This window comes from Homo sapiens, chromosome 1 (assembly GCF_000001405.40).
Source record: "Homo sapiens chromosome 1, GRCh38.p14 Primary Assembly".
NCBI classification, from domain to species: Eukaryota; Metazoa; Chordata; class Mammalia; order Primates; family Hominidae; genus Homo; species Homo sapiens.
The window spans coordinates 220,651,956-220,669,032 of record NC_000001.11 but is presented as its reverse complement, the minus strand read 5'-3'; the positions used below and the strand labels follow the sequence as shown (position 1 = coordinate 220,669,032).

The window sequence follows — 17,077 nt, the reverse complement described above, 5'->3', positions numbered from 1 at the left end:
TTTTCAGACGAACAGTTTGCAGATATAGTCTCCCATTCTGTAAGTTGTCTTTTCACTCTTTTGATTGTTTCCTTTGCTGGGCAGAAGCTTTTAAGTTTGATGTAATTCTAAGAGAATTTTTAAAAATTCCATTTTGTCTTCTTTGCTGGCTCATTAGTTATAATTCTGTTTTGTATTTTTAGTGGTTGCTGCAAGGTTTACAGTACACATCTTTAACATACTCCATCTCCACCACATACATGATATAAGAGCTTTGCAAAAAACCTTGGTACTATGTTGCCATAACTTTTACTTTTACATGTTATACATCTTACAATGCATTGTTAATATTTTTACTCTCAACATAGTTGTTATTTTTGGTGCTTTTTATTCCTTTTTGTAGACTCCCATCTGGTATATATTTTATTCTGCTTGAAGAGCTTTATTTAACATTTCTTTCCCTGGCCTCTCAGCTCTAATGCAAGTCTGCTGGTGATAAATTATTTCAGCTTTTATGTGTCTGAACATCTTTATTTCACCTTTGTTTTAGAAAGATCATTTTATCTGGGTATGGAATTCTAATTTGATACTTTATATTTTTCCCAATACTTGTCTGGCTTGCATCATTTCTGCAAGAAGTCAGTTGTTGTTCTTATTTTTGTTCCTTTTTCTTCCTTATGTAATATGTCTGGTTTTTTTTGTGGCTGATTTTACTGTTTTTTTCCCCCCTTGCTGGTTTTAAGCAACCTGTGATATGAAAATTTAGTATAGTTTTCTTAATTGATATTTATGAAACATTTTAGGTCTGTTTATGGTTTCCTGAAAATTTGGAAAAATTCTGGTCATTATATCTTCAAACATTTTTTCTCTCCCCACCTCCTCCTCTTTGTCGGGACTTTACACATATACTAGATTGCTTGACATTGTCCTACGGCTCTCTAATCTTTTTTCAGCTGTTTTTTTGTTTCATTTTGGATTTCTATTGTGATATGTTCAAGTCCACTATCTTTCCTTCTGCAATGCCCAATCTACTAATTCCATTTGTGTGTTCTCCTCAGAAATCTTAACTTTTTTTTTTTCTTTTTGAGATGGAGTCTCGCTCTGTCCCCCAGGCTGGAGTGCAGTGGCGTGATCTCGGCTCACTGCAACCTCTGGCTCCTGGGTTCATGCCATTGTCCTGCCTCAGCCTCCTGACTAGCTGGGACTACAGGCACCAGCTACCATGCCTGGCTATTATTATTATTATTATTATTTGTATTTTTAGTAGAGACAGGGTTTCACCATGTTAGCCAGGATGGTCTCGATATCCTGACCTCATTATCCGCCTGCCTCGGCCTCCCAAAGTGCTGAGATTACAGGTGTGAGCCACTGTGCCTGGCCCCAGAAATCTTAATTTTCATTTCTAGATGTTTGAATAGTGTTTTTTTTTTTTACATGAAATGTCTCTACTTAACATAACCTTTTTTCTACCTTTCTGAACATATATAGTTATAATAATTGTTTAAATGTCTTTGTCCATCAATTTGATCATCTCTGCCATTTCTGGTTCAGTGTCAATTGATATTTCTCATTATGTGTTGTATTTTCCCGCATATTTGCATGCAGGATAACCTTGAATTAATGCAAGCTATGATGACTATTACCTTGTTGAGTGATGCACATTTTCTGTTTTCTTTTTCTTTTTTTTTTTTTTTTTTGAGATGGTGTTTTGCTCTTGTTGCCCAGGCTGGAGTGCAATGGTGCGATCTCGGCTCACTGCAACCTCTGCCTCCTGGGTTCAAGTGATTCTCCTGCCTCAACCTCCCGAGTAGCTGGGATTACAGGCATGCACCACCACACCCAGCTAATTTTTGTATTTTTTTCTTTTCTTTTTTTTTTTTTGAGACAGTCTCACTCTGTCAGCCAGGCTGGAGTGCAGTGGCACGATCTTGGCTCACTGCAACCTCCACCTCCCAGGTTCAAGCAATTCTCCTGCCTCAGCCTCCCCAGTAGCTGGGATTACAGGCATGTGCCACCACGCCTGGCTTATTTTTGTATTTTTAGTAGAGACGGAGTTTCACCATGTTGGCCAGGCTGGTCTTGAACTCCTGACCTCAGGCGATCCACCCACCTCAGCCTTCCAAAGTGCTGGGATTACAGGCGTGAGCCACCGTGCCTGGCACATTTTCTATTACTATATTCTTGAGCTTTGTTCTGGGACACAGTTGTTACTCAGAAACCCTTATCCTTCTGGATATGGCTTGTGTTAAGCAGTACCAAGGCAGTATTTAGTGCTAAGTAGTTCCCACTACTGAGGCAAAACTCTTCTGAGTACTATGCCCACTGCTCCATGAATTGTTTTCTACAAATGACTGGGTGGAACAGGCATTACCCTTGCATGAGGTTCGATGAATTGTTCCCTCTAATACTTTCAGGTGGTTCTTTCACTGGCCTCATTTAGTTTTCTTACATTCATGTGCTGATTTCTGCAGATCTCCAGAGCTGCTTCTTTGGTATCCCCCCACCCCGCTCTTCCCTGCAGACTCTAGCTGTCTTGGCCTCCCTGGCCTCTCAGTTCTGACTTCTTAACCAGAGAGAATGCCAAGCTCCAACTTGATTTTCCTCTCCGTGTGCCACAGGCTGGGCCAATCATAGAGGTCATTTTGTTTGTTTTCCTCTCAAGGATCATTGTTCTTCATTGACTAATAGCCAATATCTTAAAAATTGTTTTTATTCTGATGAAAACATTGTGTGAATTTATTATTTCATATATCTCGTTTCTTCATTGTCTTAGGTGGGAGAGTAAATCTGGTACTTGCTGCTCCACGTTAAGTGAAAGTGGAAGTCTTAAAATGCAAGCTGAAAACTTGAATCCTATGCCAGGAAGCTCTGCTCCCACCCAATCATCTTTCTTACAGTCTGTGAATCCTATTCATGACACCTTGTTTTTTTGGAGATGGAGGGGGGACAGGGACCACTCTGTCACCCAGGCTGGAGTGCAGTGGCATGATCTCAGCTCACTGCAACCTCTGCCTCCTAGGCTCAAGCGATCCTCCCACCTCAGCCTCCCAAGTAGCTGGGACTATAGGTGCATGCCACCATGCCCAGCTAATTTTTGTATTTTTTGTAGAGACAGGGTTTCACCATGTTGCTCAGGCTGTTCTTGAACTCCTGAGTTCAAGTGATCCACCCACCTAGGCCTCCCAAAGTGCTGGGATTACAAGCATGAGCCATTGCACTTGGCCCATGATACCAGGTTGATACATCTTTTGAAACGTCTCTCATATACCTTGTTGATACATCTTTTGAAATGTCTCTTTCCTTTTACCTTTTTCCACCCTGTGTTAACCACCCCACATCTATGCTATTTCATTCATGCTTTATTGTTTTAACCTCTGAAAAGATCTTCCTGCCTCTAGTCTTTAATCGAGTTCATACATTTCTATGATACATTTTTTTTACTGCTATTTCCTAGAACCTAGACACTAATGTACCCTGGCACTCAACAAACTTGCTGAATTAATAAGCCATTCTTTTTTTTTTTTTTTTTTTTGAGACGGAGTCTCGCTCTGTCGCCCAGGCTGGAGTGCAGTGGCGGGATCTCGGCTCACTGCAAGCTCCGCCTCCCGGGTTCACGCCATTCTCCTGCCTCAGCCTCCCGAGTAGCTGGGACTACAGGCGCCCGCCACTACGCCCGGCTAATTTTTTGTATTTTTAGTAGAGACGGGGTTTCACCGTTTTAGCCGGGATGGTCTCGATCTCCTGACCTCGTGATCCGCCCGCCTCGGCCTCCCAAAGTGCTGGGATTACAGGCGTGAGCCACCGCGCCCGGCCAATAAGCCATTCTTTAACAACCAATTTATTAGGTACTTCCTTGGCTTAAAAAAACCTCATAATTTCTCCCCTCTATCCATAGATCAAGTCCAAGCTGAGACTGCCAATTAATGCTTTACATAATCAGCTATTAATCAAGCTATGTGAACCCTGCCACTTCCTAGAATATGTGGTTTATTTTTTAACATGACTTAGAGCTATTACTAACTTGTAGCTTTTTTTCCATCTGTAGGATCTTTTCTATTGTCTCTTAAATTTTACCCACTCTTCAAATCCCTTAAAAGACCCACCTTTCCAATGTCCATACAGAATTCACTCTTCTCTGAATTTCTATAGCATCTATTATCTGTGCTTGTTTCAGCGCTTTCAGTTTCCTCTCTGTGTGTGTGTATGTTTTAGTTGTGCATATATTTACATCTATTTTTTCAAATGGACCAAAATCTCAGAGAGGTAGGAACCATCTTTTATAATTGTTTTTTATGTATCTTAAGACACAGTAGGTATTTCAATGGGTATTTCGAAAATGAAGGCAGAGGTCAGCTTGATTAATTTGCACAGGCTAATGGAATCACTAGTTTACAGTAAATTGGTGCCTTGCTGCTCACCGTATGCTTTTCTCCCCCCATGGTGCGAAATGACACTGTTGGTGAAAATCACCTCAAAATAAGAGCTTTTAGGTTTTAAATCAAATTCTATCTTAGAGAATATTATTGGATCAAGGTTCTGGAGTATATTTCATCTTATTCTTTTCATTTAACAAATAAAATGCTGTGCCCCAGTTTCTACAAAATAATTAATTTAATATAAGGGATGTCATATCAAATAATATTTCAACAGAAGCCAAGGAAATCCTGGTATCACATAGCCGGTGAACATAAACTGGTATTTATTTATGCAAACACATTGCAAAATTCCTCTAAATCTTTGAAAAATATTTATGTTGTCATGAACACATAAAATGAAAAATCTAAAGTGAGTATCAAGATTTCATTTTTAGTTCATAAAAGATATTGAAGTCAAATTCCTTTCTACAAACACAGAAGAGTTGGCCACAGTGAGAAAATGTAAAAAAATATCAGTTTCTACCGTGGAAAACACATGAGTCTATTTTTTTAAAAACGTATTTCAGTGACAGGAATTCCTATAAAAAGATTAAACTTTCTTGTCATAATGACAAGAAACCTTCATAGTTTCAATAATCTTGAAAACCTTCACAGCTTCACCCTTTGCCAACTAAATTTAGAACACATACAATAAACTCCTCATACAGAATACTTTTGTACCAGAAAACAGGTAATTCACATTCTGATAAAGAGCAAAAGACAAGTGCTTTATTATGAGAACTGTTCAAGTAAAATTTCAGTGTGCACCAGTGAAAGTGAATAAAGATTTGCATCAATTTTTTTTTGAATGAACACTAGGTTAAAAAGGGGCTACACATTTTTTTTTTCAAACACCACCCTTTGCTAAGGCAAAAAAAAAACTCACTTAATTTTAAAACATAACTGTTACAGAAGAAAGCTACATCACAGTACAGTACAGAACATAAAATTCACCCTAGTCTGGAAGCCATTATGGAATGGCACATCACCTACACTTAGACCTTCTAATGTAGGTTGGAATTACAGTATTTATCACAGCTTTATTTTCTTTAAACTGATAAAATTTGAATACACTTTCTGTTTTTCAGGAGTGTGCAGATGGGGCCCATATGTTGGTATTACAGTAATTACAACAGTAAATAACATTGCACAGTCAACCTCCAAGGCTAATTCAGTATAAAATAACAAGTATTAAAATGTACCTTTACTAGTGGTTTTACATCGCATATATCACTAATTATGAAAGAAAAGTAGGCAAATGCCCAATCACAAAGCGGCACATTATAGGCATAATGATGTGGAATAAATACAAGAAATCTGGCAAAATATTTAAAACAAACGAGTTACATGGGAACAAACTGAACAACCACATAAGCATAAATCAATCATATACTGTTATAAATAGTATGTTTTGCTCACAAGTCTCTTAAGTACTTATAGATATTACAGTGGCAGGGGTGAATGAAGAGGATAGCAGGAGAATGAGGCAAATGTTCCCAATGCCAGTTAATTCCTGAGGTGGCATTATTTCTTAACTGATGCATTGATCAACACTGTAAAGATGAGTTTGTGCTGTGAAACAGTCCCAATATTATTATATTCCCGCAATTAAATTGCGGTATTCTGAAGGCAGCAAACCTACGTGACAGTTTATGTTATAATAGCCAGATAAAGTATGTTTTTTTTCTTTTAAATTTTGTTGCTACAGTTAGCAGTGGGTCAGAAAACACTTCAAAGTTCAAAAGAAACTTGATGTAGATTTAACTTTTTTCCCGGTACTTCCTAGTTAGCTCAAGGCAATGCTATTACTGAATTTCATGTACTTGAATTTAAAAACTCTAAGTGCCAACACTGTAAACATTTTGTATCTTCTCAACTAAACCTTGCGGGATAACAAGGAAAAGAGCAAAGATAAGCAGTAATAATTTTGTGTATAATAAAGCTGATCTATTTTTCAGCTTCTGGTTTAAATTTAAATAAGATTTTAAAACAATTTTTAAAGGTCCATGCTACAATTGTAAAGGCTATTTCTATGCACTTTTAATTCTGGACACAATTTTCAAAATTGCATGATGGAGGTAAGAATTTTAAAAACCCACCAGAATGTAAATAACAGGGAAGAACATTTTCAAATCAAAGCATCAAACATACATTCAGGTGCAGAAATCTAGACAACTATACAAGTTTTTAAGCAATCATGTTTTATTATACAACTCTATGAACAGAAAATGAACAGAAATACACAATATACTTACCTGTACATGTGAACCTACTTTTTAAGCTACAGATATTTATTATAGTTCATACTGACTTTAATTTTACAGTTCATAACTATGTATAACCTTATTGCATTAAGGGCAAATTCTACATGGGGAGATTCACAGGCAGACCACATTAGGCATTACCAGTACATTCAAAAACTGTACCTCATATATGTATGTATCTTCCCTGAACCTGTAAATTTGGACTTCTTTACAGCTTAAGCTCATTTGCTATTTTTGATGCAATGTTCTTAAAGGCAATAGATGTCCCAGATATTCGCTTGAAGCGAACCCCATTAAGTGACAGTCGTGGCAACTTGCAGACTTCCATCTCCCACTGCACGAGGCTATCCTGTCTAGCGTCTCCATGGACACAGAAAAGCAAAAATCTCTCTTTTTGCTCATAATCACAGTTATTTGCATCTAACACTTTTCGGATTTCTCTCATCATGTCATTAGGGTCCATTGAACTAGTGGTCTTCATACTCCATGTGAACCGCAAAGAACGCGGCTTAGAATCTTTACCCTCTTCCTTGTCTCTTTCTTTTGGTTCCCCTGATGTACTTCTGGAACAAGAGGGCAAAGGGAAAGAATGAAAGCAAATATTTCACTCAGCAAAGAGATCAAAACACACATAAAATCTAAGTGGTCATAGTTCAGTGCCTAATAACACTACCTAATTTGCAGACCACCCTCAGATGGACGCAAAGATTTATGTTATCTTGCTGTTACAGAAACACACCCCAAGATGCCATCTGTTTTGACTTTTAATATTGTCAATCTAAAATAGCATTTTTCTTAAATATAAGTGGTTTGAGGGAAACAAGTCTGCAACTGAAAGTGAAGAACTTAATACCTTCTTCAGTTCCATATTTCTCTGTTCAAGCACACACACAAAATAGGAACCACTAATATTCTATTTGTAAATATACATTTTTGAAATATAAAAAATTTCTTTTTTCTGCCTTTTTGGATAGGAGGAATGTCGTAACTTCAGAGGGAAAGATAATTCGTTTACCTGGTAAGGTTGAGAAAGAATGTTGTACTGCAATTAGGTAAAGATGTTAGATTATACCACACATCTCAATGTCCTCCAGTGACTTCTCATTTCACTAAAGACATCCTTAAAACAGTCTACAACGTTCCCCATGACTTCCATTCCAACTCCTACTACCCCCAATCCCATTTCCTAGAATTTTTCTCCTTCCTCACTCCTATCAGAACACAATGGCCTCCATGCTGCTCCTTGAACACACGGGTTATGTTCTTGCCACAAGGCTGTTGCACAGACTGTTCCCTCTGTCATGAATGCTTCTCCCCAGATGGCTGCGACGCTAACTCCTTTGCTTTTTTCAAATCTTTGCTCATATTGTACCCTAACTCCTATCCTAGCATGGCCAAGCCCCCTTAGCCTGCTTTATTTTTCTTGATAGCACTTACACATTCTAACATATTATTTAACCCATTTGTTAGGGTGTTGTCTGAATCTACCATTAGACTGTAAACTCCAGGAGGGCAAGGAATTTTGTCTATTTCATTCACTGATATATCTCGGGCATCTAGAACTGTGCTGGGTACATAGTAATAATTAACATATTTGTTAAATGACTAAATCTCACTGAATTTTACTTATTGCAGGCATCCCCCAAGTAATATGGAAACAAAAAGCCTATTTCAAACAGTCATAGAAAGAAACCTTCATAGCTTCATCAAAGTTAATAGATTATTCGTGATACAGAAAATCCTGTAATTAAATTTCTTGAACAATTATCCAAATAGAGATGTTATAATTGCAACTTGTTAACCTATCTCACTTATGTGATTTAAGAAAAAAAAAGTCCCTTGAAAGGAGTTTATAATCTACTGCATACATCTTTTAAATTAATATATATACATTTTGTATCAATAGTATGATATATATTCATGTGTAATTTTATATATATTATCTACTTCATTTCCAGGTGTCTGAGCCTAGGTATCTGAGTCCCCAAAGCTCTGCAAACTATGCAATCTTGAGAAAATAAGGAAAGGAATACGTAGAGAAAATAAATTTCCAAAGACCATTAATAAGTATGGAAAGTATTTACTTCATCGTGTTCTCTATTTTTCTCTTTTTGCCCACTGAATCTAAGCCATTGCATCACAGGCCTCTTAGGGCTTGCAAGCCAACCAGAGTCATTTACCAAGGTCACATGTATAATTCTGGTGGAATCGGCATCCTGGAAGGGTCCTGAGAGATCAGTTGACTGAGCACTCATTTTAAAGATGGAACTGATGGCTGGAAAACTTAAAATTAGTTTTCTGTGGCTCACACCTGTAATCTCAGCACTTTGGGAGGCCAAGGTGGCAGGACCATGAGCTCAGGAGTTTGAGACCAGCCTGGCCACCATGGTGAAACCTCGTCTCTACTAAAAATACAAAAATTAGCCAGGTGTGGTGGCAAGCGCCTGTAATCCCAGCTACTTGGGAGGCTGAGGCAGAATTGCTTGAACCTGGGAGGTGGAGGTTGCAGTGAGCTGAGATCGTGCCACTGCACTCCAGCCTAGGCAACAGAGCAAAACTTTGTCTCAGAAGAAAAAAAAAAATTAGTTTTCTGAAGTTATAGAGCTAATGAGTTGAAAAGTGAAGACTAGAATTTAGGGATATTATTCTAAGTCTAGTTTCCTTCTATTCCACCTTAAGATGACCTTAAGACAATGAAATATTTTTCTGCATGGTCTCACAGACATTACCACTGATAATGTCCATTGTAGAAAGCTCCTGGAAATGTGGATATTAATATAATAACAGCTAACATTTATTGAGTACTTACTAGGTGCAGGAATTGTCCTAAGTGCCTAAAATGTATTAATTACTCATTTACCCCTCAGAACAACCCTATGAGGCAGTTAGAGTGAGGAAATGGAGGCACGCAGAGTTGAAGTAACTTCCCCAAAGCCACACAGTAAGGTAAGTGGTGGAACATAGCTGAAACCCATGCACTCTGGCTGAGAACCTATACTTCTAACCACAGTATCACCTCATCTCCCTGAAATGACAGAACCTTATTATAGCTGGCTTGATCCCACCTATGTTCCTTGCTGTTTTTTTTCATCTGTAAAATAGGCATTTTCACCTAGTTGTTGTGAAAATTAAATGATCAGAAAGTACTTTATAGTTAGTATTCAATAAGTCAGTTCAAAAGCAAAAATAGAACCAAACCCAACAACAACCAAACAAAAGGGAATGTGAAAAGTATTGTGTAAACATTTATAAAATATCAGTTACTAATTCTTATAATGTAATAAAATTATATAGTTACATTAAAAGGACAAAAATGCAACTATTAAGGGCCACTTGCAATGCCACACACTACTAAATGTCTCAGAGGGAAATTTAGTGGAAATATAGGATGAAATGCAAGGAGGGGCTCAAAAGTGAAGACTAAGTGAGGGAGAGGCTAAGAACAAGTCCTCCATGTTTCTATAAAAGGCAGAAGAAAGTGAAGAATATTTGTCTTGCTCCCCTGTGGCTCCCTACTGTGGTGACTCAGGTACCTAACTCTACAAAGAAACATTTCAACTATTATTACTAAATGTAAATATAGCACAGTTTGTTAAAAAGACTACATGGGAATGCTATAGTTTTCCAAAGTTAATTATGTTTTATATTTTAAGTAACTTGAAAAGTAGAAATCAAATTGGAGGTTTGTGTTCAGCTGGTCACAATCGTTCCTGAATGAAGCCAGAGCCTTTCATACTGTGGAATACTTGTTGGTTGTAAAATTTACATTGCATCCCTTAATGCTTGGGTACACTCAAAATAAATTAATGTCTTCATTTCTTAAATTTCCCGTTTGTAAAATATGAACACAAGTACTAACATGTCCATAATGTGGTCCCTAGAACAGCAGCATAAGCATCTCCTGGGGACTTGATAGAAATGCAAATGCACAGGCACCTGCCTCGGCCCCTGAATCAGAAACCCTGGGAGTGGGATCCAGCAACCTTTTTATCAAGCCTTCCCTGTAATTCTGATTGTGCTCAAGTATGAAACCCATTGCCAGAATGAATATACAACTAGCATGAAATGTCAAAAAAAGAAATCCCCAAAAGTATGCCTGGATAGAATTTTTAAATGTGGTCAAACACTGAATTATCACCTAAAATATATTACTAATATCAAATCTTCCTACATGTAATTATCTCCCTGTTCTGTGTTATTTGTGCTATTTGACTCAGACTAATTTTAGTTACATTACTTTAGTGAGAAAAATATCAGTACATTTAATCTATTAATTCTTTAGCTTGACATACTTTATAGAACAGAAAGCCTATTTCTATACCAAGTACACAATTCAAATGCATGTTTGGAAAACAAACTTAAAGTTGACTGACTTGAATGCTAGGTAACATTATGAAAACCCACCCCAATATAAAAATCTAAAATACGCATGCTATCTAGTTATTAGATCTATTCATGATCATTAAGTGCTGTAAGTATTTCAAAAGTACGTTTTCATACACAGGGACCTAGCAGCGAAGTATTAATAGTGGCTCCTCACCTTGAGGTGTCGGTTCTGCCACTGGCTTCGCCTTCACTTGGATCCCTCAAAACAAAGTGAAGGTTGAGATTTAATGATAAAAGTAAAAAATATATCAAGAAAACCTATATCTAAAATTATTTTAAAATTAGCTTGTTGAGCAAACTTCTACCATGACAGTTTTCTATTACTAGTCAGTCTGAGACTATTTCTCATATTTTTCACCATAACCGCATGTAATTTATCATTTATTGAGCGTCTACTCATTTTTGTCAAGAGGCAATATGAGGTGAAAGTTTGAAATTTTTTTTTCATAATCTTCCAATTCCCAGCCATGATTCATTTGAAGTCATAATTTATCTTTTGGTTTAGTTTAATCTAAAGTTAAAACTATTTAATAATTATCAATAGCAAGATTCAACTTCAAATTTGTAATTATGTATAATTCTAGTAGTCGCTCAATTTAGAAAATATATACATTAACCTTGTAGTTAGCAAATAAACACCAATTTCCAAATAAGCAATTTCTTTTAGAAGTTATGCTAACAATTCATGCACATGATAAAATATCACAGCAAATTAACAGCCTATCCATGTAGGCAAGTCTAAAAACACGGATTCAATCTTAAATAAAAACACTGACCTTACCTGGATATCCACCTGCGAAATAAAACCAGGAAAACACTACTAATTGTTCTGTGTTGCATGTAATTAATATTTTTGAAGTCTACCAAAATTTTAATGCTTTGTTATTTTTAAAGGTAATTAAATATCTTGTGATAAAGGGTAAAATACTATTAAATAGTGGGAAAAATCACCAACTTGAATCCTTAAGTTAATACTGTCTTAATGTTTTAGCCATTCCAGAAACATTTCTATTATTTATGTAAAACGAATGCAATAAGAATAAAATCAGTGGTACTCTCCCATCCCCCAAATTCATAAAACACACCCACATACCAAGCCCTAAAATTTTAAATTGTTCTTAAGAATATGAACGCCTTATGCCTCTCAGGGTCTTTAACTAATACATGCCTTTCTTAACAAACATATTATGAAAAAAAAAATTTTTCTATCTGAATTTAAAAGAATACTAAAATGTATTCTCACATTCAAATGTAATTTCTTAAATTTCTATTTTTAATAACTGGCATTTTCATTGGGAAGTATAATAAAAATTCAATGCCATCTATACAAATCCATTTTTATTATAGCACATTGAAATAAATAAAACATTTTTGAGCAGGCTGAAAGTGAAATGTACATTTTCAGTTACATGTAGATGAACTGATATACACAGATGGGCAGTATACCAACTTGGCAAGCAAGACAGTAATGCTGTTGACTCCCACTGCTAAGACAAAATTCCTTTAGGAAGGGACAAAAATCTCACTGGACTTTTCTGTCCTATTTATATTATGCTTTATTATTCACTATTAGCAAACACCTATACCACAGCTGCCAAACTTAAAACATTAGGAGTGAAATGTCCCTTAGACCCTATCTCCTCTGCTGTAATTGACTGAAATAGCAATTGACCCATACCCTGTTCCTGCCTACCTGGATGCCAGTAGGAACATTGGAAAAATTTCTGCTACTTGGCAATTGTTTCAAAGAGCCCAGGAAGTCTGCTTTAAGTAGCCATGGTAGGAGGCAGATGGAGCTACAGAAGGTGCAGCTGGCTCTAACAGCATATGCAGCACAGCATGCTCTCCAACACTTAACACTTAAAAAACAATTACCTACAGATAGCAATATATACTCAACTGAACAAACTGGGTTGTTCCCTATATAAGAATGAGCTATGGTTAGAAAATCATAAGGTTTGGTGTAGAAGTGAGCCATGCAGGTATTCAGGGCAGAGAATTCCAGGCAGAAGGAATAGCAGGTACACAATGCCAAAGCAGTGCTTAATGTACTTGAGGACAGTCTGGTCCCTGTGTGGCTGGTGTGGAAGCAGCAAGGGGAAGAGTGGGAGAAGAGGTCAGAGCAGAAATGGATGGCCAGGTTACACAAGGCCCCACAGGCCACAGTGAGGGCACAGAATTGTATTCTGAGCAAGGTGAAAGCTAATCAGGGGCTTTAAATTTAAGAGTGACATGATCAGACTTGACATGACACTGCTGAAACAGAAGAGGAGGACAAGGACAGAAACTAGGAGACCTATGAGGAAGTGAAAGATGAATAGTGGTTCAGAGTATGAAGGCAGTGGCGGGAGTGATACAAGCAGTTAAATCCTGGAAATGCTGTGAAGGTAAAGCCAACACAAATTGCCAATGGATCTGAGGTGGTATGAGGAAAAGAAGTGTCAAGGATAACTCCAAGGCTTATGGTCTGAGCAACTGTAAGGACAAGGCTGCCAATTTCTAACACGGTGAAGAATGAGGGAGGGACAGGTTTGGGAAGAGGAACGAGAGTTTACTTTTGAACATGTTCTGTTTCAGAGTCTATAACGTATCTAAGTGGAGAGGCTGAGCAGCAGTTGGATATGAGTCTGCAGTTCAGCAGAAAGATGTGCGCTAGAGATACAGTTAGGAGTTGTTCATACAGGACGGAATCTAATGTCATGAGCCTGACTGAGATCACCAAGAGTGTAAGGAAAACCAGAGAAAAAAATGTGTCCAAAGACTGAGCTCTGGGGCATTCTAATATTTAGAGGTTGGGGGAAAGGCAAGGGAATCTGAAAAAAGCCAGCAAAGGAGCCTGAGAAGTGATAGCTAGTCTGTGAGGTAGGAGAAAACCAGAGCCAAGCAAGGGAAACGCTTTAAATGTGTGGAATGTTTCAAGATAGTAAGTTGCTCACAGGAAGGCAGGAGACCCATCAGTCTCACTCACTGCCGTAGCAATAGCTCCTACAAAAGGGCCTTGCGTGTAGTAGGTCTCCACATATGTGTTCAAAGACTATATGGCAATCTTTATCAGAACCTCCCAACAGACCAGCTCTAAGGCACTTTCTTGCTTTGGCATTCTATCTCACGACTTCCTTTCCAAAGTACTCTGTTTCCCCTAGAGTCTAAATTTTTGTTGCAGTTAAGAGAAATATTTTGCACAATGCTTAATGCACAATTAGTAATCAAGCACTAAACTATAAACCTATTTTTCTTCACTTTAAAATTAATTCTGGCTTAACCATGAGAAAGTACTGGCTTTTTGAAATGGCCTTAAATAGACAAATTCCAAAAGCAGAAACTACTGATAATCTGACTAGTACCCTGCAGATGGCCGGCTAACACTATGATCTAACTTCCATGCTGACTCTGTTGGTGAACTTTTAGTTCTTTCTCTAGCAAGTTTCATGCTGCATAGTAATTGCCCCAATGGTACAAAGTCACTGACTGATATGGTTAGAAATTTATGTTACATTTGAGGCTTTAAAGTTTTTAATTCAGCTATGTGATACTGGGCAAACTGATGTATGAACCAAGCCTATAAATAGCTCCATGACAAGGCAAGTAAGACTGAAGCTGCTTCTTCTCTTTTCCACATCCACTCTTTGAAATCCTAGAAACACTAATAACATTGGAAACTAAGTATTTAATTAGTATTTCTTAAAGCAAGTATAATTATTTCTTACCCATCATTGAAGGCTCAGCTGAAATGATTATATGATAGGGTGCCTTCACTGTCTCCCTAGATAGAAACAATTGTGTCTTCCTCTGGAATCCAGCATGTTGCCCACACTTTTTAGCACATGTTCTGCTTTATATCATGGCTAGTTGTTTGTCTGCTTCTTACAAGACTATAAGAATCTGGAGGGCACAGATGCCATCTTACCTATCTTTAGATTCTGTTCTGCACCTAACACAGTGCTTTGTCTGTCGCAGGGCTTAAGTAGGCATTTAGTGGGACCAGGAATAGATGAAATCCACATCAGCCTGCATTGTAGTAGCAACTTGTATCATCAATGTGCACTGTACACGTATGCATAGTAAGCATAGTAAGTATGCTTACTTTTTAGAAAGTATAATTGTATTGTTTAAGTAGATTAGACCTTTACTATACATGTATTCATTTTGTGTTTACTATGTTTTGATGATAAGGTTTTATGATGTAAAATTGCATAAGTGATCTGTGACTCTGGTGTGTAGGCTTTTTATGCAAGAAGAAAAAAATGTAAATTATATATTATTAGTAAGCAATTTAAAAGTATTGTCAAGATAAATTTGAAGGAAACATGTAAACTCATTTCTTTTCCTCAATCAAGGCTTTTAAATATAAAATAATCTTTTGTTAAAACACACATTTTTGAAGTTAAGTCTTTGTTCTTTCCATTTTATTTTACAGATTTTTAAAATCTCATTTTGTCCATTTTTTCCTTTCTCTCTCTTAAGGAAAAATACTTTATGTCTTCCTAGATTTTTTTCTTCCAACTCTGTAAAAGAGCAGCTCTAATGAAATGTTATGAAACCATTTTAGAAAATTATTATAAAGATTTTTTTAAAAAGTCTAGTTTCCTTTATAATTTCTAGAGGAATCAAAACACGACAGTACATTGGTACTGACCTGCGAACAAATTTGGATGTGATTTTGCTTATTATACCAGTTGACGTTCCCCTTCTGGCATGTGCAAATGCACCCGTTTCATGGGATGGTGAAGCAGGTGGCCCATTATAAGCAACGCTGCGTCGCTCCCGGAGCTGTTCACCATGGAAAGTGCTTCGGCTTGAGCTCCCTCGGGGAAAACGGGTCCGGTCTGGAGTCGCAGTACTAATACTGTGAGCAGATGGGGAAGCAGCAGGCACTCTCTGGGTTGTACTGCTGGGACAAATTAAGATATATCATTCAGAATAATGACAAGAAAACCTTTCACTCAAGCTAAAAACTTGAAACAAATAGCTATGGCTACTTCTTTTGGCCCTACTTTATTTGTTCACATTAGAGATGTGAGACATGGGTTTGGAGTAAAATTTCAGTTTGAAATTAGGTACCTTTTGTTTGGTCACTAAAAATCAAGAAATGACTGAAACAGGGACACAAAGATAAATACTTTTCAGTATCAGGAATGCCAAACCAGGAGTACTGCAAATATTTTTTTAATATTCTCCTGAAACCACTTAGCAATGTTGAACACAAATTTTATTGTTTATTAAAAAGGCTTTGAATAAAATAATTTCCTATTTCTAATTTAGGCCTCAGTGATGCTACAATACCACATGGCACCACCAATATGCCTAACAAATCTAACAGAGGGTTAAAATGTTCAGATGTACTGAATTTGGGAAATCTTAAAATAGAAAAATACTAGAAAAACAATTATACAATTTTATATCTGAACAGGCTCTTTGAGTTCATCAGTTTCATTGACAGGAAAACTGAAGCCTGGTTTTATTAAGAACAAGGAATTGAGCCTGATCATTATCTGCGGGTCTCAACTCACAGTCTAGTGTTTGTTCGTATGGTTTAAATAATAAAAAAATCAATTTACCTAAATGACAAATTAAACAGCAATTTTTAACTTTATAGACGGATGTAAAATCAAATCCTTAAAAAAATTCCTCTAGAAAATGATTTAAGTTATATGCAACATTTCCAATAACAGCCAAAGTACATAGAAAGTTTATGTTACAATTCAATTTTTCCTCCATAACAAACACTGAATCTTATTAGAAAGGTCTTAATGTGATGGTGACTATCATGTATTTTCACATGGTGCTATATTTTTAGAAACTCTTAATGAACAAAATGAGATGTAACCAACACATTACCCAGGCCGGTAAGCTTCAGAGCCGTCTTTAATGGTTGGCAGTGTGACTTTAATAGGATGACCAGAAGTGGACATGGACTTCTGGTGGCGGGGTCGTGCTGAGGGGACAGCAGAGGCCACAGAAGAGCCTGCAGAAGATATGCTACTCACAGACATCTCCGTAAGGCTTTCACCATAAAGCAGTTGAGAAGACCAT

At 37.1% G+C, this 17,077-nt stretch overlaps 1 protein-coding gene across 10 annotated transcripts in view; it reads right to left on the bottom strand.

Annotated features, from left to right (window-relative positions):
- Positions 1-4,571: 4,571 nt before the first annotated feature.
- MARK1 (microtubule affinity regulating kinase 1) overlaps positions 4,572-17,077 on the bottom strand; it is a 136,326-nt gene continuing 123,820 nt past the window's right edge. For 5 of the 10 annotated variants that reach the window (XM_017001305.3, NM_001286124.2, XM_011509561.4 and 2 more), the window contains 4 exons: positions 16,883-17,047; positions 15,681-15,935; positions 11,199-11,243; positions 4,572-7,221 (listed from right to left, as the gene is read on the bottom strand). In XM_017001305.3, coding sequence (XP_016856794.1) covers positions 6,867-7,221; positions 11,199-11,243; positions 15,681-15,935; positions 16,883-17,047 — 820 coding nt within the window. In that variant the 3' untranslated portion in view covers positions 4,572-6,866. The remainder of the gene's footprint in view (positions 7,222-11,198; positions 11,244-15,680; positions 15,936-16,882; positions 17,048-17,077) is intronic. The other 5 variants (NM_018650.5, XM_047420844.1, NM_001286126.2 and 2 more) reach the window with 3 other exon arrangements.